The sequence below is a fragment of the Homo sapiens genome, chromosome 11 (assembly GCF_000001405.40).
Source record: "Homo sapiens chromosome 11, GRCh38.p14 Primary Assembly".
NCBI classification, from domain to species: domain Eukaryota; kingdom Metazoa; phylum Chordata; class Mammalia; order Primates; family Hominidae; genus Homo; species Homo sapiens.
The window spans coordinates 121,211,994-121,234,778 of NC_000011.10; the positions used below are offsets into that span (position 1 = coordinate 121,211,994).

At 39.6% G+C, this 22,785-nt stretch overlaps 1 annotated feature.

Annotated features, from left to right (window-relative positions):
• Positions 881-1,380: an enhancer, noted in NCBI's record as "NANOG-H3K4me1 hESC enhancer chr11:121083583-121084082 (GRCh37/hg19 assembly coordinates)". NCBI's record gives its function as "activates a minimal SCP1, AML or CMV promoter by ChIP-STARR-seq in primed H9 embryonic stem cells {active_cell/tissue: H9 hESC(primed)}" and the evidence as "EXISTENCE:reporter gene assay evidence [ECO:0000049][PMID:30033119]".

Below are 22,785 nucleotides of genomic sequence, written 5' to 3' on the forward strand. Positions count from 1 at the left end.
GAATTATCTACAAGCCAGAGGACAGAGTGACCCAATACACACCTTTTTAAGATTCAAAAATGTCTGAAAGCTGAGAATCTTAAAAAGAGACAACAATGTATGAGGGTTTTTGTTGTGTGAATTGTAAAGTTGTTTGTTGGAAAAGAAAAGGCAAAAATGAAAAAGTGAGAGGTGGGCTTCAAGTGCTTAAAGGAACTGAATTTTCTACAGCAAGATATTCCTCAATCATCTTTAACATAGCCATCCAGGCCACCTTAATTCATAATAGCATTCCAAATTTTTAATTAATGATTTTTGAGGAACACAGATGTTTATTTATACTTTATCTGACACATAAGCCTTTCTCCAAGCTGATATTTACACACAGTTCCTAACCACAGAGATCACATACAGAATGAGGATGTAAATCAAACATATCATTCCCTCCTTGCCTTTTCTTTAACATCCCATTATGGAATAAAATATATGGCTATTGGAAACGCTACATCAATTTTCTTTTTATACTATGTAAACAGTCACTTAAACCTCTTTCTCAGTATTTAAAACACAACTGACAATATATTTTCAATTTCAACATCTAAGCTTGGAGAGAGGCAAGATGGCCAACCAGATGTGGCTGGAAATCACCTCTTTCATGGAGAGGAACCTTGATACTTTGAACATATTGTATGGTGGAAAACATCAAAAGTCAATACAGAGTTAATTGTGGCTCTGTGGTTGAAGGAGGCACTGTGGTTGAAGGAGGAAGAAGCGTGGCAGCCTGCTGAATCACCAGGCACCAGGACCAGCCCCATGGACCAGACCTAAGGAAGGGGTGAGTGAAGGAACTCCCAGCCACCACATTCCTGATGCAGACCCCTGAGATTACAGCTATCGAAGTTTCCATGACACCCATAGAAAGTTGGACTGGAAAGGGGAGCTGCCTGGAGAACAAGCAGAGGCACAGCTTGAACCTGCATGGAGCCCAGAAGACATCTCTATATTGTGCACCTGCAGCAAAATGTAACCATAGCTACCCATCTCCCAAGGCTCTCGGACTTACACTGAATGGCTGCATCTCCTTCTGTCTGCCAGGCCAGGAGGCAGCAGGATCTGGGAGCACTCTCACATCCAAGACAGATCCCACCACCATTACTATGGGACTGAAGTACTTTTGATCCATGAGCCCCCTTGCCTACCAGCACCTCCCAAGACCACTTGCCTGGCCACTCCCACAGTAGGGTGCCCACAGCCCAGCCTCCACTCCCTAGCACAGAGAAGAGTGTGGTGCAGGTTCATGTGCTGGCATGGGAACTGGGTACCCTGCCCTTTGCAAGGCTGGACCAGGAAAGGTGTGGCTTGATAGCCTCAGCTTTTCCCCTGGGGGAGTCCTGCAGCCCAAAACACCCAGAATGGCCTAGTAATCTGGGCATAGATGGCTTTATCTAACAAGCATAGCTGGTTGGGCATACAGCCAGGGTAGACACCAGAGAGAGGTCAGAGGAGCACGAGCTGGGCAGGCCCCACAGCTGCCTGCTGGGCTAAAAACCCTGGGCTGCAGGCATTATACCGGTTGCACACGCATTTTGCCAGTGCCCTGCTTGGGGATCCCTCACCCTCAAGCCACTGCATCACCAGACCACCTACAGATATAAACTACAAACTGCTCTGACACTGGCAAGCACAACATCAGCAGTTTCCCAGGGAGTTGCAGATCTCCTGGGATTTGCAGGTCCCCTGGTGACCTAACCTTCAGTGTGGCCTGCCCTGCCTCTAAGAGACAGGAGAACTTGTTTCCTTTTTGGGACAAAGGAAACACAGGTGTGGCACTAGTTGCTGAAGTAGCATAATTATGGCCCAGAAATGGACTTGGAGAGGGAGTCATCTCTTGTCCCCCTTTGAACATAAATGTCCTAAACACTCCATTTAAAAGACAGAGAGTGGCAAAGTGGATCAAAAGACCCAATCTTCTTCTGTCTTCAAAAGTTCCATCTCACATGGAATGACACCCACAGGCTCAAAGTAAAGGGATGGCGAAAGATCTATCATGCAAATGGAAAGCAGAAAGAACAGAGGTTGCTATTCTTCTACCAGATAAAATAGACTCTTTAAACCAACAATAGTAAAAATAGGACAAAGAAGGGCATTAAATAATGATAAAAGGTTCAATTCAACAAGAGGATTTTGCTACCCTAAATATACATGCACCCAATATTGAAGCACCCTTATGAAACCTTCACCCTTATGAAGACTTATGATTACTACTAGACCTAAGAAAAGACTTAGAGAGCTACACAATAATAGTAGGGAACTTCAACATCCCACTGAGAGCATTAGACAGATCAAGGCAGAAAACTAACAAATTCTGCACTTAAATTTGAGTAGGTTTTTAAGGTACTGACAAGCTGACTCTAATAGACATCTACAGAATACTTCACGTAACAATCACAAACCTTCTTCTCATCTGGTCATCATTAGTAATCATCAGAGAAATGCAAATCAAAACCAAAATATGATACCACCTCACACCAGTCAGAAGGCATCCTCATCTTTCACCTTATACAAAAATCAACTTAAGATGGATCAAGGACTTAAATCTAAGACCTGCAACCATAAAAATTCAAGAAGATAACTTCAGAAAAACCCTTGTAGACATTGGCTTAGGCAAAGACTTCATGACCAAGAACCCAAAAGCAAATGCAACAAAAATAAAGATAAATAGATGAGACTTAATTAAACTAATAAGCTTCTGCACAGCATAAGAAACAATCAACAGAGTAAACAGACAACCCACAGAGTGGGAGAAAATATTCACAATCTGTACATCCAACAAGGAATAATATCAGGAATCTACAAGGAACTCAATCAAATTAGCAGTAAAAAAACCAAACAATCCCATCCAAAAGTGGCTTAAGGACATGAATAGATCATTCTCAAAAGAAGATATACAAATGACTAACAAACATATGAAAAAAATGCTCAACATCACTAACTATCAGGGAAATGCACATCAAAAGCACAATGCAATACCACCTTCCTCCTGCAAGAATGACCATAATAAAAAAATTGAAAAATAATAGAAGTTGGCAGGATGTGGTCAAAAGAGAATACTTCTGCACTGTTAGTGGGAATGTAAACTGATACAACCATTATGAAAAACAGTGGGGAGGTTTCTTAAAGAACTAAAAGTAGAACTACCATTTGATCCAGCAATCCCACTACTGGTTATCTGCCCAGAGGAAAAGAAGTCATTATATGAAAAAGACACTTGCACACACATGTTTATAACAGCAAAAATATTCATATTTATCAATATTAATTGATGGCCCAAATGCCCATCAATCAATGAGTGGATAAAGAAATTGTGATATATATCTATATATGTGCCATGGAATACTACTCAGCCATAAAAATGAATGAATTAACAGCATTTGCGGTGACCTGGATGCAATTGGAGACCATTATTCTAAGTGAAGTAACTCAGGAATGAAAAACCAAACATCGTATGTTCTCACTCATAAGTGGGGGCTAAGATATGAGGATGCAAAGGCATAAGAATGATTTAATGGACTTTGGGGACTTGAGGGGAAAGGGTGGAGGGTGGGATGGGGGTAAGGGAAAAAAGACTGGCTGGGCGCGGTGGCTCAGGCCTGTAAACCCGGCACTTCGGGAGGCTGAGGCGGGCGGATCACGAGGTCAGGAGATCGAGACCATCCTGGCTAACACGGTGAAACCCCGCCTCTATTAAAAATACAAAAAAAATTAGCCGAGCGTGGTGGCAGGCTCCTGTAGTCCCAGCTACTCAGGAGACTGAGGCAGGAGAATGGCATGAACCCGGGAGATGGAGCTTGCAGTGAGTTGAGATCGCGCCACTGGACTCCAGCCTGGGCGACAGAGCGAGACTCTATCTCAAAAAAAAAAAAAAAAAAAAGATTACAAATTGGGTACGGTGTATAACTGCTCAGGTGATAGTGCACCAAAATCTCAGAAATCACCACTAAAGAACTTATTCATGTAACCAAACACCACCTGTTCCCCCAAAACCTATGGAAATCAAAAATAAAAAATCAAATAAAAATGAGCAAAGGACCTGAGTAGACATTTCTCGAAAGAAGCCATACAAACGGCCAATGAATATATAAAAACTGCTCAACATTATTAATCATTATGAGAATGAAAAATCAAAACTACAATGAAATATTACCTAATGCGTATTAAAATGGCTTTTAGAAAGATGAGACATAAAAAGTGTTGGCAAGGATGTGGAGAAAAAAAATCCTTGTGTGCTGTTGGTTGAAAGGTAACTTGGTAAAACTAGTATAGAAAATAATATGGAAGTTCTTCAAAACATTAAAAACAGAACTTCCATATGATTCAGTAATCCCATTAGTAAGTGTATATCCAAACAAAATGAAATTATGATCTTGAAAAAATCCACACTTGCATGTTTATTTTAGCATTATTCATAATAGTTAAGATATGGACACAACCTAAATGTCCCTCAATGGATTAATGAATAAAGAAAATGTGGAACTACACATGCAAATATGCACACACACAAACACACACACACATATATACACAGAGAAATATTTTTCAGCTTAAAAAAAATCTTGGGTGTGGAGGGAGACAAATGCAAATATGTTAGGCAAGTAGTGCAAAGTTTCTGTTATGTGGGATGAATATGTTCTGGACATCTAATGTACAGCAATGTGAGTACAATTAACAATACTTTATTGTATACTTAAAATTTACTAAGGGTAGATTGAAAATAAAAGTAATAATGGAAGACATAAACAAATGGAAAAACACTCCATGCTCATGGATTGAAAGAATCAATATTGTTAAAATATCCATACTGCTCAAAGCAATATATAGATTCAATGCAATCTCTATTAAATCTCAACATCATGCTTCACAGAATTAGAAAAAACAATTCCAAAGTTCTTATGGAACCAAAAAAGGGCCCAAATAACCAAAGCAATCCTAAGCAAAAAGAACAAAGCTGGAGGCATCACATTACCTGACTTCAAGCTATACTACAAGGCTACAGTAACAAAAATAGCATGGTACTGGTACAAAAATAGACACATGGATCAATGGAGACTCTTGAAATAAAACCACACATCTACAACCAAACGATATTTGACAACATGGGCAAAAATAAAGAAATGGGAAAGGACACTCTATTCAATAAACAGTACTGGGAAAACTGGCTAACCATATGCAAAAGAATGAAACTTGACCTCTTTATACAAAAAAAATTACTCAAGATGGACTAAAGACTTAAATGTAAGACCTCAAATTATAAAAATTCTAGAAGAAAACCTAGGAAATACTCTTCTGGACATTTGCCTAGGCAAATAATTTATGACTAAGTCCTCAAAAGTAAATGCAACAAAATCAAAAATTGATAAAGAGACCTAATTAAACTAAAGCACTTCTGCACAGGAAAAAAAAAAAAAGCAACCTATCAACGTAGGAAACAGATAATCTACAGAGTGGGTGAAAATATTTGCAAACTACGCATCCAACAAATGACTAATATCCAGAATCTACAAGGAACTTAAACAAATTAACAAGAAAAAAAATAACCCATTTAAAAGCAGGCAAAAGACAAAAACAGGCACTTGTCAAAGGAAGACATACAAACAGCCAATAAACATATGAAACAATGGTCATTATAACTAATCATCAAAGAATGCAAATCAAAACCAAAATATGATATCATCTCACACCACTCAGAATGGTTATTATTAAAAAAGTAAAAAAAAAAAAACACAAATTAACAGGGGTTGAGAGGTTGTGGAGAAAACAGAATGCTTATACACTGTTGGTGGGACTGTAAATTAGTTCGGCCCTTATGGAAAACAGTTTGGAGATTTCTCAAAGAACTAAAAATAGAATTACCATTCAACCCAGCAATCCCATTACTGGGTATATACCCCCAGAAAATAAATCTTTCTAATAAGAAGATGTCTGTGCTTGCATGTTCACTGCAGCACTATTTGCAATAGCAAAGACATGGAATCAACTTTGGCGGCCATCAGTGGTAGACTGGATGAAGAAAATGTGGTACATACACGCCATGGAATACTATGCTTCCACAGGAGAAAGTGAAATCATGCCCTTTGCAGCAACATGGATGCAATCAGAGGCCATTATCCTAAGTGAATCGACACAGAAACAGAATACCAAATACTGCATGTTCTCACTTATAATTGGAAGCTAATCACTGGGTACACATGGACATATAGATGGGAATGATAGACATCCAGGACTCCAAAAGAGGGGAAGGAGAGAGGGAGGGCTGAATAACTACCTGTCACATACTATGTTCACTATCTGGGTGACAGTTTCAGTTGAAGCCTAAACCTCAGCATCACACAATATATCCATGTTAGTAACCTGAACATGTACCCCCTAAATCTAAAATATTAAAAAAAAATTTTTTAAACATAGAAAATCAAAGCTTAAAAAAAGACTATAAAGATGACATCAGTGAAAATGACAGAGTAAGGACCCCCCCAAAACTCTATCCTCCATAAAAGCAATGAGCACACTGGCAAAATTGTCAGAGTCAACTTTTTCAGAATTTTAGAAATTAATCAAAGGCTTGAAGCCATCAGGGAGCATTTTTTTTTTTCAAGAAAAAATGGTTGAATCTTGGTAAGAACAATGAGCCTCATGACATTCCAATTGCCATTTCCCTTCCCAGTTTCTGGCTATAGGGTAGCCACAAAAATCAATGGCCCACAATAATGGTTAAAACCAGTAGCCTGACAGCCACTGGAGGTAGCAGAAAGGGGCTAGTGTTCCTTCAAAGCACAATAGGATAACCAAAAAGCTGGAGGAAAAAGGCAAGGTGTGAAATGTCTACATGGGGCTTAAAAATGCTCTGACATATTCCTGGGAATCTAGAAGGCCACACAGAAGCAAAGGATTGTGCACAAGCCCAGAGCTCTGCAAGTGCTCAGGAAAGATCTGAGCGAGTGCTAAGTTCTTACCTCTGGCTCGCCCCATGCAAGTAAGAAGTGAAGCCAAAATAGAGCAGAGTACCTGGTTGAGCATTGAAGGCATGCCCTAACACACACAGAGCCCTCTTGCAAAGAGGCTTAATGGTTCCAGGCATCTAAGGAAATCTCTGTTCAATTGTTAGCGCACTGTTAAGCTAACCAAGCAGAAATGTCAGTGGCCACACATGAAAGAGAATACAGACTTTACAGAATTCATTCAGAAAAGTCACCAAACAAATGAATAGCAACACCAACAAGCAGCAACAACAACAAACTTTGAGAAGTGGAGAGAATCTGCTTTCCAGAGCTGCTCCATTAAATTATTTTAAATGTCCAGTTTTCAATAACAAAAATATATGTGATATAAAAGAAACAAAGTATGGCTTATACGCAGGGGGAAAAAGTGGTTGGTAGAAACTGTCTGATATGGTTTAGCTGTATCCCCAACCAAATCTCACCTTGAATTGTAATAACCCCCACCTGTTAAAGGTGGGGCCAGGTGGGGATAATTGAATCATGAGAGTGGTCCCCCCATACTGTTCTTGTGGTAGTGAATAGTCTCATGAGATCTGATGGTTTTATAAATGGCAATTCCCCTGCACAAGCTCTCTTGCCTGCCACCAAGTAAGGTATGCCTTTTCCTCCTTTGCCTTCTGCCATGATTGTGAGGCCTCCCCAGCCAAGTGGAACTGAGTCCATTCAACCTCTTTTTCTTTGTAAATTACCCAGTCTTGAGTATGTCTTTATTAGCAGCGTGAGAACTAACTAATACACTGTCCCTGATGAAGCCAAGATATTAGATGGACTTATTAGACAAAAGCCTTAAATCACCTACTGAAATCATGTTCAGACAAACACAAAACAAATCACAGTGGTAGAACTCAGAAGTCTGGAATCACAGTGTCATCAGAAATGTGCACCCTCCTAAGGCTTTTGAGGAGGATCCTACCTTGCCTCTTCCAAGCACTGGTGACTCCAGGCTTTCCTTGGCTTGGAGCCACATGACTTCAATCTCTGCCTCCGTCTTCACATGTCCTTGTGTGTCTGAGTCTCAGATCTCCCTCTGTCTTTCTCTTACAAGGACAGCTCTCATTGGACTTGGGGAATTACCATGAATTACCTTGATAGTCCCAATATAATCTCAAGGATTCTTATAAGAGGGAAGCAGGAGGGTTGAGCCAGAGGCAATGTGATAACAGAAACAAAGGACACCTAGGCAGAAGGAGCTGTGAAGATGCCATGCAGCTGACTTTGAAGATGGAGGAAGGGGCCCGTGAGTCAAAGAATGCAGGCAGCCTCTAGACGCTGCAAAAGGCAAGGAAACAGATCCTCCTTGCCTAGAAACTATTGTACCTCCTCTCTGGCCCCATCTCTTTTTTGCCAACCTCCAGCATCCCCTATTTCCAATAATGGTATCATTTGCAGTAGCCAAATTCTATTGATTCTTCTTTAAACATCTAACTCACATTTCTCCTTTCCCTTTCCATTGCAATGTTCTTATATAAGTCTTCCTGGAGTCTTTCTCCTTCCAAATTGTCCTCCACATGGAATTCCTTTTCTAAATAATATTGCTCCACTGTTCGAAACCTCCAAAGACCTACTTATTGATATAAAGTAACATCGACCTCCCTAAATCCAGTGTTCAATGTCCTCCCCAGTCTGGCCTTTCTATAATAGCTGCATATCCCTTGAATCGCCTTCAGAAGGCTGGCTTGTCAAAGTACCTATGCGAGCTCAAGTGTAAGGTAATGGGAGTGGCATGCTCTGTGGGAACTGGAGCACACAGGCTCCACCCCCAAGGCCATTTTTTAAACAGTATATTTTACCCTTTTTTATCATGGTAAAAAAACACATTTGTTAAACATTTTATTTTGAAATAATTTCAGAGTCATACAAATGTCTTACAAGGTAAATCTTGTAATTTTCACTCAGATTCCCCAAATGTTAATAGACTTAAGAAATAAACCACCCTCGTTTTGTCATTCTCTCCCTTTCTCTCTTTCAGTGTTTGGACATCATGCTCCTTGTACTATGGTTATAGAGAAGAGCATGCTCCAACTTTCCGCCTTCCCGCTGCCTGTTGCTGGCTATGATTCATTTTTGCAGGCTTATGCACCTGATCCAAATCAAGCCCATTAGTGCCCCAACCCAGAGTTTTTAGCATTGGAACCAAAGAAGAGTGTAGCTTCTCTTTGCGGGAGAAAGACATCGATGTCAAATGCAGGAGCAGCTGGTGGCTTGTCCCCTGCCAAGTGGAGGAAGCCAGTGTGGGAGAAGAGGCTGTGGACACAGGAAGGAGGGCAGTTACTAGAAGTTGGAGGGAGTTTAGGACAGATAGTCCCATGCATGTTTACCGTAGCAAGAGTTAGAAATAATTTCACTGGGAGGCTGAGGGGGGAGGATCACTTTTGCCTGTGAGGTGGAGGTTGCAGTGAGCTGAGATTGTGCCACTGCACTCCAGCCTGGGTGACAGAGCAAGAAAGAAATAATTTCATGAAGAAGAATAAGAATGAAAAGCACCATGACATAGGCAAAATGGAGCAAGTGCACATTTTAGGCACAAGTATTTTAGGAAGATGAACTCTGGCAGTCTATTCAGAGTCGTATGGGAGAAAGGCCTGGTGACAGGAGCTCACCAACTAAGAGGCTATTATTGTAGCCAGGCAGTGAGTCAATCTGCAAAATATTTGATGTACTTCCTTCAAAGTGTCTTGAGTTCATCATTTACTATCTACTACCCTCATCGGAGCCCTCATCTTAGCACTCTTCATGTGGGTTTTAACCTGTTTGTTTGCAGGTCTGCTTCCCTCTGCTGGATGATAACTTTCACGGGACCATTCATCATTGCATGCGGTGAGGCACACAGTAAAGGCAAGTATAGTGTAGTGTTAATGCATATGTTTCAGAGTCAACCAGAGTTTTGAACCTTATCTGTATCCAGTTATTAATAACTGTGAGATCTTAGCCAAGAAGTTTTGAGCTATAATCTCTTTATCTTAGCCTTAACCTTTCATCAGGCTGCTGTGAAGTGTAAATTAGATTACACAATCAAAGCATACGTGCCTGGAGCATATTAAAATTCAATAACTGCTATGTCTTGGTATCACAGCTAGTTCAGTGTCTGGCACATAGTGGATATTCAACAAATGGTAATTATTATGATTATACTTATTAATAATAATTTTTAAAATTTGAATGATGCCACTAATGGAAATAAGGGAGCTGGGGATGGAAGTCTGCCCCATGCAGGTAAATGTGGTCTTGGCATAACACTAAGTAAAAACAGCTGAATCTTTGGGCCACATATAGCACAGTTAACAACGTTCAGCAAAGTTATTTTAAGCCCTTCAGTAGCAATTTCAGTAGTGTTTAAGTGTCTGCGTGCATCAGGTAATCACTGAGAAATCCCTTCCAAACACCGCTAATCCCATCAGCAGTGAGTTTTCTCAAAACATTACTCATCCAGCAAGGCATGAGTAGGTGAATCAACGTAGAAAAATCAATGAAATTCTGAGAGAGGAAAATGGATACATTAAAAACATAGAATCAATTTTGTTGTCCTTCCTTATCTCCACCTTCAAAACCATATTAAGGGAGAATCAGGACTTAGTAGCAAGGAGCCAGTGGCTGGGAATACAGACAAGCAAACCATCAGACCTGACAACTGTCACATTCCGTGCGGTGGCCACCTCGTGATTTCCACCTGGTCACTCACGCTCATTTACTCATGCCTCTAGTCCTGGCTTGCAGCTCTCCTTTCAGTCTCTACTTCTGTCACCGTTCTTGGTGATTTTGAACATATGCAGATCATCTATCCAAAGCCTTGGACTGTCAGGTCTCTGATCCACCCCACCTCAGCCATCACTCACATGATTGTTTCCTAATCCTGATCACCTGAAGAACTGAACCAAATCTGAAATCTTAATGTTAAGCACCACACTCCTGGACTACCCTCTCTTAGCCTTCCAACTCATTTACTGCCATCCCATCCATTTGCAGACCCTGGCAGAGCCTCTAATCTGTTAACCTCATCACTGTTCCTCTACCCATGACACCCCCTTGTCCTCATTTCCCTCATTACCTAACTTAGGTTCTATATTAGGCACAGACGTTAGCCTATGTGCCTTATATTGATTCTTAATCTGTTCCAGGCACTTAGGCTAACATAGGTCCCTTATATAGGCTAACATAGGCACTTAGGTCTCATATATCCACTCCCTTGCAACCATGCTAAAATCTTTTGTCCAGCTCTTCCTGCATAGGCACCTGGAAAGTGCCAGCCTTAGTTAAATGCAAAGTTCTGTGTATTATACGTCTGCAGCCCAGAAGCTGAATGTTGTGAGAGAAAACCGCACACCCCTGCCTATTGGTTTCTTTTCACATGAATGACAAAAGAACTCAAACGGGCAGTCATCTCAACTAGACAGTCCTAACACATTTTCTAGTGAGTTCCTCCCGCCCAGAGCAACTGTTTCCCAACTCAATCTCTTGCTTTAAGCCTGTAACACCTTTTCCCCAACACATTGTTAAATCACTGACAAAAAAAGCAGCAATCAGATGAGTCACCCTTCATTCTCCCCCAACAAAATCTACCAACCTTTGATTGTGTCTGTACCCACCTTTCCTGCCTTCTCTCCTGCTCAGGTGGACAATGCATTCCAGCTCCTATCAGAGGTAAACACCTCCTCTTGTGCTTTGTATCCCCTACCCTCTTGACGTCTCTACAGTTTTCTCATGCAATACCTTCTTTTTCTCCTTGTGTCATCCATCTCACTCTCTTTACTGGATCATTTCCCTCAGCATACAAATATGCCTTTACAATACCAATCTTCAAAAAAAGTCCCTTGGCTGCCACATGCCCCTCAAGTACCACCCCATTTCTCTGCCTCAGTTCAGTTCAAAAGTCCTTAAAAGAACTGTGTATTTCCCAGCCTGGGCAACGTGATGAAACTCCACCTCTACAAAAAAATACAAAAATTAGCTGGGTGTGGTGGCACGCACCTGTTTTCCCAGCTACTTGGAAGGCTGAAGCAGGAGGATCACTTGAGCCTGGGAGGTTGAGGCTGCAGTGAGCTGTGACTGTGCCACTGCACTGCAGGCTGGGTGACAGAGTGAATTCCTGTATCAAAAAGAAACAAACAAACAAAAAACAGAACTGTGTATTTCCACTTAATCAATTCCTTCTTTTTTAACCCACTGGTTAGGTTTTGGTCTTTATCCCTCCGTTGAAAACACTCCTAATAAAGCCATTATGACTTCTAATATTGCCATTCCTAATAGTCCCTTTTCTGTCCTTGACTTACCTAACATCTCAATAGTATTTGACACAATTGTTTAACATCAAGTTTATTGATGCATAATTTACAAACAATAAAATGCACATACAGTTTGGTGGATTCAACAAGTGCATACATCTCCATAACAACCATCACCACAATCAAGGTATAGAATATTTCCATCACCTCAAAAATTACTTTTGTACCCCTTCCAATCAATCCCCCAAATCATCCTGACCTTAGACAACCACTGATATCATTTTATTACTAGATTTCAGATATTTTTTGGAATTTCATATTAAGGAAATCACATACTATGTACTCCTTTTCTTGCTTTTTTACTCAGCATAATATTTTTGAGATTGATTCCTGTTATTGAGTATATCAGCAATTCATTCCTTTTTAGTGAGTAGTATTAATATTGTAGGGGTAGACCACAATTTGTTTATTCATTTACCTGTTGATAGATGTTTGGGACGTTTCCAGTTTGGGGCTTCTGTGAATAAAGCTACTTTAAACATTCATGTACCAGTTTTGGGTGGACATATAAGTTTCACTTCAGTTGGATAAATTCCTAGGATTTGAGTCGCTGGGTTATAAAGTAAGTAAGTGTATGTTTAAATTTATAAAAATACCAAGCTGCTTCCAAAGTGGTTGTACAATTTTACACTCTCACTAGCAGTGATGAGAATTCTAGTTGCTCCACAATCTCACCAACACTTGGTATTGTCAGCCTTTTTAGCCATTCTAGTGGGTATGATGCAGTATCTCATTGTGGTTATGAGTTGCATTTCCCTTTGACTAATTTATTAGGTCACTCTTGTGCTACTATAAAGAAATACCTGAGACTTGGTAATTTATAAAGAAAAGAGGTTTAATTGGTTCACAATTCCGCAGGCTGTGCAAGCATGGCACCAGCATCGGCTTGGCTTCTGGGGAGGACTTAGGAAGCTTTTACTCATGGCAGAAGGTGAAACAGGAATGGGCATCTCACATGGCTAGAGCAGAAACAAGAAAGAGAGTGGGGACAGAGGAGGTGCCACATACTTTTAAACAGTCAGATCTTGTGAGAACTCACTCACTATCAGGAGGACAGCACCAAGCCATGAGGCGTCTGCTCCCGTGACTCAAATGCCTCATGCCAGATGCCACCTCCAATATTGGGAATCATATTTCAACATGAGATTTAGAGGGGACAATGTTCAAACTATATTATCCCTCCCTTGACTCTTCAAATCTCACCTCCTTCTCATATTTCAAAATACAATCATCCCCTCTCAATACCCCCTAAAGTCTTAACTAATTCCAGCATCAGCGCAATCAAAAGTTGCAAGTCCCAAGTCCAAAGTCTAATCTGGAGATGAATTCCTTCCACCTACGAGCCTGTAAAATCAAAACAAGTTATTTACTTCTAAGATACAACGGAAGTACTGACATCAGGCAAACATTTGCATCCCAAAAGGGAAAAATTGGCCAAAAGAAAGGGGCAATAGGCCCCATGCAAGTCTGAAACCCAGAAGGGCAGCCATAAAATCTTAATCTCCTTTGACTTCTGTGTCCTACATCCAGGGCACACTGGTACAAGGGTGGGCTCCGAAGGTCTTGGACAGCTCTGCCCTGTGGCTTTGCAGGGTTCAGCCCCCTGAGCTGCTTTCACAGGTTGGAGCTGAGTGCCTGTGGCTTTTCCCAGTGCAGGGTGCAAGCTGCTGTTTGATCTCCCATTCTGCAGTCTTGAGGATGGTGGCCCTGTTACCAGAAAGCGGTCCCAATCCAGACCCCAAGGGAGGGTTCTTGAATCTCAAACAAGAAAGAATTCAAGGCAAGTCCATATAGTAACATGAAAGCAAATTTATAAAGAAAGTAAAGGAATAACGAATGGCTACTCCAAAGGCAGAGCAGTGGCATGGGCTGCTCCACTAATGATACTTATAGTTATTTATTGATGGTATGCTAAACAAGGGCTGGATTATTCATGAGCTTTCCAGGAGGGGTGGGCAATTCCCAGAACTGAAGTTTCCTCCCCTTTTTAGACCATATAGGATAACTTCCTGATTTTGCCATGGCATTTGTAAACTGTCATGGTGCTGGTGGGAGTGTCTTGTAACATGCTAGTGCATTATAATTAGCATATAATGAGCAGTGAGGACAACTAGAGTTCACTTTCATTGCCATCTTGGTTTTGGTGGGTTTTGGCTGGCTTCTTTACCACATGCTGTTTTATCAGCAAGGTCTTAGTGACCTGTAGCTTGTGCTGACCTCCTATCTCACCCTAAGTCTAAGGTTAGACTTAGAAGGCCTAACCTTCTGGGAATGGAGCCAGAAGTCTCAGCCTCATTTCACCAGCCCTTATTCAAGATGGAGTCACTCTGTTTTGAATGCCTCTGACACCCCTTTCCCACAGCTCCATTAGACAGTGCCCCAGTGAGGATTCTGTGGGAGTTCCAACCCCACATTTCCCCTCTACTCTGCCCCAGTAGAAGTTCTCTGTGAGGTGTCCACCCCTGCAGCAGTCTTCTGCCTGGGCACCCAAGCTTTTCCATGTATCCTCTGAAATCTAGGTGGAGGCTGTCAAGTCTACTTTACTATTGCACTCTCCATGCCTACAGGCTTAACAACACGTAGAAGCTGCCAAGGCTTATGGCTCACACCCTCTGAAGTAGTGACCTGAGCTGTATTTGGGGCTTTTTGAGCTGAGGCTGGAGGAGAGCAGACAAGATACAAGGAGCAGTCTCCTGGGGTGGTGCAGGGCAGTGGTGCCCTGGTACTGGCCCACAAAACCATTAAGTACTCTTAGGCCTCTGGGCCCATGATGGGAAGGGGCTGCCTTGAAGATCTGTGAAATGCCTTTAAGGTCTTCTTCCCATTGTCTTGGTATTAGCATCTGGCTCCCTTATAGTTATGCAAATTTCTCTAGCAACTTGTTGCTACTCAACCACTTGGATTCTTCTCCTAAAAATGGGCTTTTCTTTTCTACCATATGACCTGGCTGCAAAATTTCCAAACTCGTATGCTCTGCTTCTCCTTTACATAGGACTTCCAACTTTAACTCATTTCTTTGCTCCTGTGTCTGAGAGAAGGTTTTTAGAAGCAGCCAGGGCACGTTTTGAACACCTTGCTGCTTAGAAATTCTTCTGCTGGATACTGTAAGTTGTTACTCTTAAGTGCAAACTTCCACAGTTCCCTAGGACATGAAAACAATGCAGCCAAGTTCTTTGCTAGGGCATATCATGAGTAACCTTTACTCCAGTTCCCAGTAAGTTTCTTATTTCCATCTGAGACCTCATCAGCCTGGCTTTACTGTCCATATTACTATCAGCATTTTGGTCACACCTTAACCAGTCTCTAAAACGTTCCAAACTTTCTCTCATCTTCCTGTCTCCTTCTGAGCCCTACCCATTCTTCCAACCTCTGCCCAATACCCAGTTCCAAAGCTGCTTCCACATTTTCAGATATCTTTATAGCAATATCCTATTCCTGGCACCAATTTTCTGTTAAGCCATTCTTGTGTTGCTATAAAGAAATATCTGAGACTGAGTGATTTATAAAGAAAATATATTTAATTGGTTCACAGTTCTGCAGGTTGTACAAGCATGGCACAAGCATCTGCTCGGCTTCTAGGGAGGCCTCAGGGAGCTTTTACTCGTGGAAGAAGGCGAAGCAGGCATAGGCATCTTACATGGTCAGTGCAGGAGCAAGACTGAGAGTGGAGAGGAGGGTGCCTCTCACTTTTAAATGACCAGATCTCATGAGAACTCTATCTGTGATGACCACTATCATGAAAACAGCACCAAGCCATCAGAGATCTTCTCCCATGACCCAAATGCCTCCCACCAGGCCCCACCTCCAACACTGGGGATTATATTTCAACATGAGATTTAGAGGAGATAACATCTAAACTATATCAACTAATTATGTTGAACATCTTTTCTTGTGCTCACTGGCTGCTGGTGTATATTCTTTTGTGAATTGTTTGTTCAAATCTTTTGGTTTTTTTAATGGGTTTTTGTCTTCTTATTATTGAGATGCAAGAGCTTTCTGTACATTCTAGATAAATCCTTTGTCAGATACATGTGTTGTAAGTTTTTTTAGTCCTGCTTTATGACTTTCCTTTTCATTTTTTAATGATGTTGTTCAAGAAGGTCTTAATTTTGATTAAGTTCACTTTATGAAATTTTTCCCTTACAGTTCATAGTTGTGTGTCTTATCCAAAAGTTCTTACCTACTCCAAAATTTCAATGGTTTTATTCTATGTTTTTTTTCTAGAAGTTTTGTAGTTTACACACTTATATTTTGGTCTATGATTTAATTTGAGTTGATTTTTGTGTATGATGTAAGGGCTGGAGTTCTTCTCAGTATAAATATCTAGTTATTCCAGCACATCTTGTTGAAAGGACTATCCTTTCCTTATTTAATTATCTTGTCTCCCATGTTAAAAATCAACTGATGATAAACGCTTGGGTCTATTTCTGGACTGTATTCTGTTCCATTGGTCTTTAAATTTTGACACCTTTTTTCCCCTTCCTTGCTTTCCACGATGCCATACTCTCCTGATTTTCTTCTTCAGCCATTTGTCAGTGTCTTTTTTTCTACATTCTTCTAATAATTGAGGTACCCAAGACTTAATTCTAAGCTTCCTTTCCTTTTTAAAATCTTACACACTATCCTTTCATCAAAGACCAGCAGGTATTAATTAGAAAAAAAGGAGTAGGAGGAGAAGTGGGGACACAGAAGGGATGGAGAGGGGAAAGATGTAAAATGACTTAGAATGTCCAGCAAGTGCAGGATCGGTGGGTGAGGGAGAACATGATACATGGAAATTAATGGAGTATAGCTGGAATCTGGACTGTGAAGGAGGAAACAGGCAAGAAGTAAAGTAAGGCAAAGTATATGGTTTCATGTAATATATAAGTATGCAGTCATTAAAATGAATTTTATAAAGAATAGTCATTGCAGAAAATTCAAATTATGTAGCATTTGAAAAACAAGATCTGTATGAATTACATAAAGTTTATATATTAATAGGAGCCTTTAAAAAAGGCTGAAAGATGTACCAAACTATTAACAGTAGTTATTCTTGAGTATTAAGATTGCAGATAACTTCATTTTTCTTGTTTTAGTTTTCTACATTTTCAATCTTTTTACAATTAGCCTTATTAAATCTGTAATGACATTTTTAAAAGCATGAAAAAAATGTGTCTTATTTTTAGAAGTGGTGCAAAGTTACTGTGAAGAATAACTAAGCTGTATGTTCCTTGTGTTATAAAGTTTGTGGCTTATGATTTTATTTATTTCTAGTTTCAGGTTCATTGTTTAGTAGCTCTTAGACATAGCAGATAAAGAAATAAAAATTGACGTCATCTGAAATAATCAGTTGGTTAAAAAAAGCAAGTTTCTGAGTAGAAAGAACATTTCCCTGGGAACATACAAATCACAGCACCCATATCTGATTCACACTAATATAGACCGCTGGGAATACTTCTTACAAAATCATGCTTTTAAAATACTTGTTTATACTTCCCAGGCTTCTGATATTATGGTGGAAATGAATGAGATAATATTTTGAAATTATCTGATCATTTAGTACAAGTATTCTACCTACATAAATACAAATTACTGTTATTTTTATTATTTTTTTCCGCACTCTAGAGTCCCAGGCCAGCTTTTGCAATTTTATATATAAATTTGCCCACAAACTGGTGAGCCAAATGGATAAAGCAAAGGCAGTCAGCCAGGCAAATTTGCATGTGGATTCTCTGAAGGACTCAGGGAGAATGTCGCCTTGCAGTTTCAGGGGCAAATTTATTTGTGTAGTACAGATGGTTGCCTCAAGAACCATTTATAACACAAATTGCTATTACAGTGTGCCATTCTCATTAACTTAGAACTAGATTAGTTTTGCCTGAGTTACAAATGGATAAAAAGTCTATTTATTTCACGCTTTTAATAATATATCTGTATATATCTTAAGCTGTATTTTAAAATATATCTACTTAAACTCAGGAAGTAAATAGGGATTTGCGAATGATTGTAACTCAAGCATCTACCTTCCTCTCTTGAGGGGGCACTTTCCTCTGGCATGTTGAGGGGTTGGTGCTGTGTTGTCTCCTGAGTCAGTTCTTGCTACAGTTGCCGTTTGAGCCTCTCTTCTGGTTTCTGCTTAATTCATATCTGCTCATTACTTAGAACTCTCAGACGAAACTCCCTTGATATAATGCTGTAATAGTCAAGAGAGTCTCAATGGAGATGTGCTCAGGTGGATTCAGTCTGGTGGAGACCATGGGAATCTCCTTAGAGAAAGCTTCTCTTGTGCCAAGTCTTGGAGGGCACAAGGGAATTGGCTAGGTAAATGAAAATGCCCTCTAGGGAGGGATAGCATGGTGTACTTACTAGTTCAGGCAAAAGGGTGAATCTGGAGCTGAGAGACAATAAATTGATACCTGGAGCAGTGCACTTGTACTTTCCATGCAAGCTGTTTGGGTAGCTGGAATTAAGAGGTCAAGTAAGGACATACAGGAGACGAATCTCTAGAAGTAACTAGATTACCATGTTAGGCTGTTTTTGCATCACTCTAAATAAATACCTGAGGCTGGGTAATTTATAAAGAAAGGGGGTTTAATTGGCTTATGGTTCTGCTGGCCATACAAGAAGCAAAGTACCAGGGTCTGCTCCTGGTGAGGGCATCAGGAAGCTTCCAGTCACAGTGAAAGGTGAAGCAGGAGCAGCCGCATCACATGGCAAGAGCTGAGAGCAAGAGAGAGAGAGCACGGAGAGATGCCACACACTTTCAAACAACCAGATCACATGTGTGGGAACTCGGAGCAAGCACTCACTCATTACCAAGAGGATGATGCTAAGCCATTCATAAAGGATCTGTCCCCATGATCCAATACCTCCCCTTAAACCCCAACTCCAACATTGGAGGTCATATTTCAACGTGAGATTTGGAGGGAACAAAAGTCAAAACTGTATCAATCATGAAGGATATTGATATTATAGGATAGGCAATGTTTGCAGAATTGAGTATGGTCTGCAATTACTTCCCTTTACTTCATATTTTTACTATTCTTTGCTGCCTGATTTGAACGTGTTTTCATCCTCCCACCCATCCCTTCTCTTGCCTGGTTTTTCTGCCACTGGTGATCTAGCAGTTTAGTTCTTTTTTTTTTTTCCAGCAAAAGAGCATCGATTTCTCAATAGCAATTTAGTTCTGTCTCATCTAGTTAACATATGCATTCTTAAATGCTTTCTATACTTGTCTCACATTCTCCTACCTTCAGCTCCTGACAACTGCCTGATTTGCTCTGTATTTCCAAAGCTAAATTAGTAAGAGAGGGAATTAGATAGTTTAGATAATTCCTTTCTTCTCTATCTAACAGAACTTTTCATGACAGCCCTATCATGAGCTACTAGCCTGACCTTGGATTGGCTGCCCTTGGGTCAGACTCCAGGCCTGGTGGTATCTGGCAGGAAGGGCAATTTCGATAAGGTCACAGAAATCACATGGACAGAATGTGCCTGCCAAAGGCTGTTCCTTCAGTCGGAACTGTAAGCAGGGCTTTTGCCCTTTGACCAGGCCAAGGGAAGCAGGCCTTGTCATGCAGGGGTTCAAGGTCCAGCTCCACCACTTACTAGCCTTGAGTAAGCTATTTAGTCTTGTTAGAGCACCAGATCTCAAAACTTTAAATTGAGAATGAAAAATACGTAACTTGCAGAATGAGTGTGAGAATTAGAGATCGTATATAAAATACCTGCTTCACGGCAATTACATGATAAATAGTAACAAACAAGGTGGGAGGGTCACTTGAGCCCAGGCGTTTGAGATCAACCTGGGCAACATAGTGAGACCCCATTTCTAACAAAATGTTTAAAAAATTAGCCTGGCGTGCTGGTCCATGCCTGTAGTCCCAGCTACTTGGGAAGCCGAGGAGTTTGATGCAGCAGTAAGCCATGATTATGTCACTGCACTCCAAAAAACAAAAGAAAGAAGCACAGAATGTTTAACCTAGTCTTAAAATGAGACTTTCCCTACCCATTGCCTCTATTGTTGAACATTTTAAGTTTATCCCAATTTTCCATTTTTATAATTAATGCTGCAGTAAACATTATCATGAATATAGTTCTCTCTTTTGAATTATTTTAAGATAAATCCTTAAGATATGCTTTACTAGAACAAAGGATATAAATATCTCTATGGATTTTAACGCATATTGTCAAAGAGGAATCCAAAATAAATTAATGAGTAATGCCAAAAAATGTTAAGAACTTGCCAGTTACCTTGAAGACATACCTGAATTAAATATTATGCTTGTTTTTTTTTCTTTTGGGTTTAGTAGATATAAATGAGATCTTGCTATGATTTGTTATTATGACTAACAATATTAGATTTTAAAATGGCTATTGATTTTCATTTTGTGTGACTGAACTGCTCATGTACTGCTTATTGATGAGGTTACAAAGTGTATACAATATGTGCATATATATGGAATACACACACATATATACACATATGTATGCACATATATACACACACATACATACACAAATATACATACATATACACACACACATATATATCTCACTTATGATTCTTATCTCATTATAAAATTTTTATGTTTAACTTCATATACTCATAGCTTTCCACTCCATCATAATATTTGAAATTTCTGTTTTTATGTCAGCACCACATTTAAAATGCATTCTAACATGGGAAAGGAATAGCTCTTTTTCCTTGCTCTGTTCTTCTTCTTTTTTAAAGATCATTTATTATTATTGCCTACCAATTTATTCAAAATTAATTTCAGAATTATTTTATGGATTCTATAAAATAATTAGGTGGGAATTTTTATTGATGTTGATTAATGCAATCCATCCATTAGAGAAACTATTTTACTTCTTTACCAGTATAGAAGAGATTTCTGAAATATTCTTTTCTGTATACCAATATAATTTCATAATTTATCTTATGTAGTCATGCAGACCCCGACCTAATTCATAATATATATCTTTACTTTATTAGAGTCTTTATTGTTACTATTAATTTAAGCTGATTTCTCAGTTTTTGTGACTACAAATAATGCCTTCTTGTTACAAAATTTTAATCTCAGATAATTAATTTTTGAAGTATAGTTTTAAAAGGAAAGAAAGAAAGAAAACAAAGAAAGGAAGTAAAGGGAGAGAGGGAGGAAGAAAGAAGGGGGAATGGAAGGGAAATTTCAACCAAACTCCACTGTTTTCTAACATCTATTTGAATCTGTTTATATCTTTGTAAAAGCTATTTATATATTTCTTCTTTAAATAAATTATGATTATTTTATATATATATATATATATATATATATATATATATATATATATATATATATACACACACATACCCTTCTAGGATTTTCCTGAATTTTATTACCTACAAATAACAATACTGTTTTATTTCTTTCAAGTAATAACTTCTTATAACATTTTGTTTCTTTATTGTATTATTAACTCTCAAAGCAATGTAATCAAAACAGTAACTGAGAAATGAGGGAATGGGAGTATACAGTTCCCTCTCTTTACATTTCCACTTTGTTCCTGGGGGAAGACACACTTCTATACCCCCTCATTACACTGGACCTACACTAGTATTTAATCTCATTGTTGATAGCTTGGAAGATTCATTGGTGCATGCTTGGCCAGTGGAAGAGGGCGCCTTATTAAAAGATGTGTTTCTGTGCATACATGCTCAAATCTAATTTCTCTGCCTAAAACTGAATGGTCTGCTCCGAAGAACTGACAAAGAATAAGAAAAGAGCAGGTCTCACAAAGGCCTCCTGTTTTTTGCTGAATTCTCCAACACAGCCCTACATTCTAATTTATATCACAGGCTTGCCTGCGATAATAAAGGAGTATTTTGTTTCCTGCAGCTTCCTAGACCCAAATGCTTAACACATTGATGCTTCCTATGGACCAAGCACCAATGTGTCTAGAAATGAGCACATGAGAATACAGAGCTGTGTGCGCAACTGCTTCTAGCCCACCTGGTGTCTCTGTGTGAAGTAGAAAATTCTCATGAAGACACTTGAGTGCTTTTTGTCCAGAATATATTTATCATTTATCTATGATACGTATTTATCATACCATTTCTATGATACGTATTTATTGTTTTTCTATGATAAATACAGTATGAATGGTGTGTGAAAGGAAATTAAATATTGAGGCCCCCAACTCATTAAGCCGAAGGGAAAAGTCAAACTGGGAACTGGGTCACACAAACCCGCCTCCCCCTTTTGGTTCCTAAATAAGATGGCTACAAGATGTAAAGCTACTTGCCTCCCCCCATTTGCCCTCAAGGAAATTCCTAGTGAGCTGCAAGATCTTTTAATGTATTTCTGTTAAAATTTCACCATGGCAATGTAAAATGATAGCTTATATTTATAGGTGGAGTCACCCCCAGCCCACCAGACACATATGCATATCTGATGTTCCCCTGCCCCATTTTGTCTATATTATCTTATGTAAAATGCAGATTCCCTGCAGTT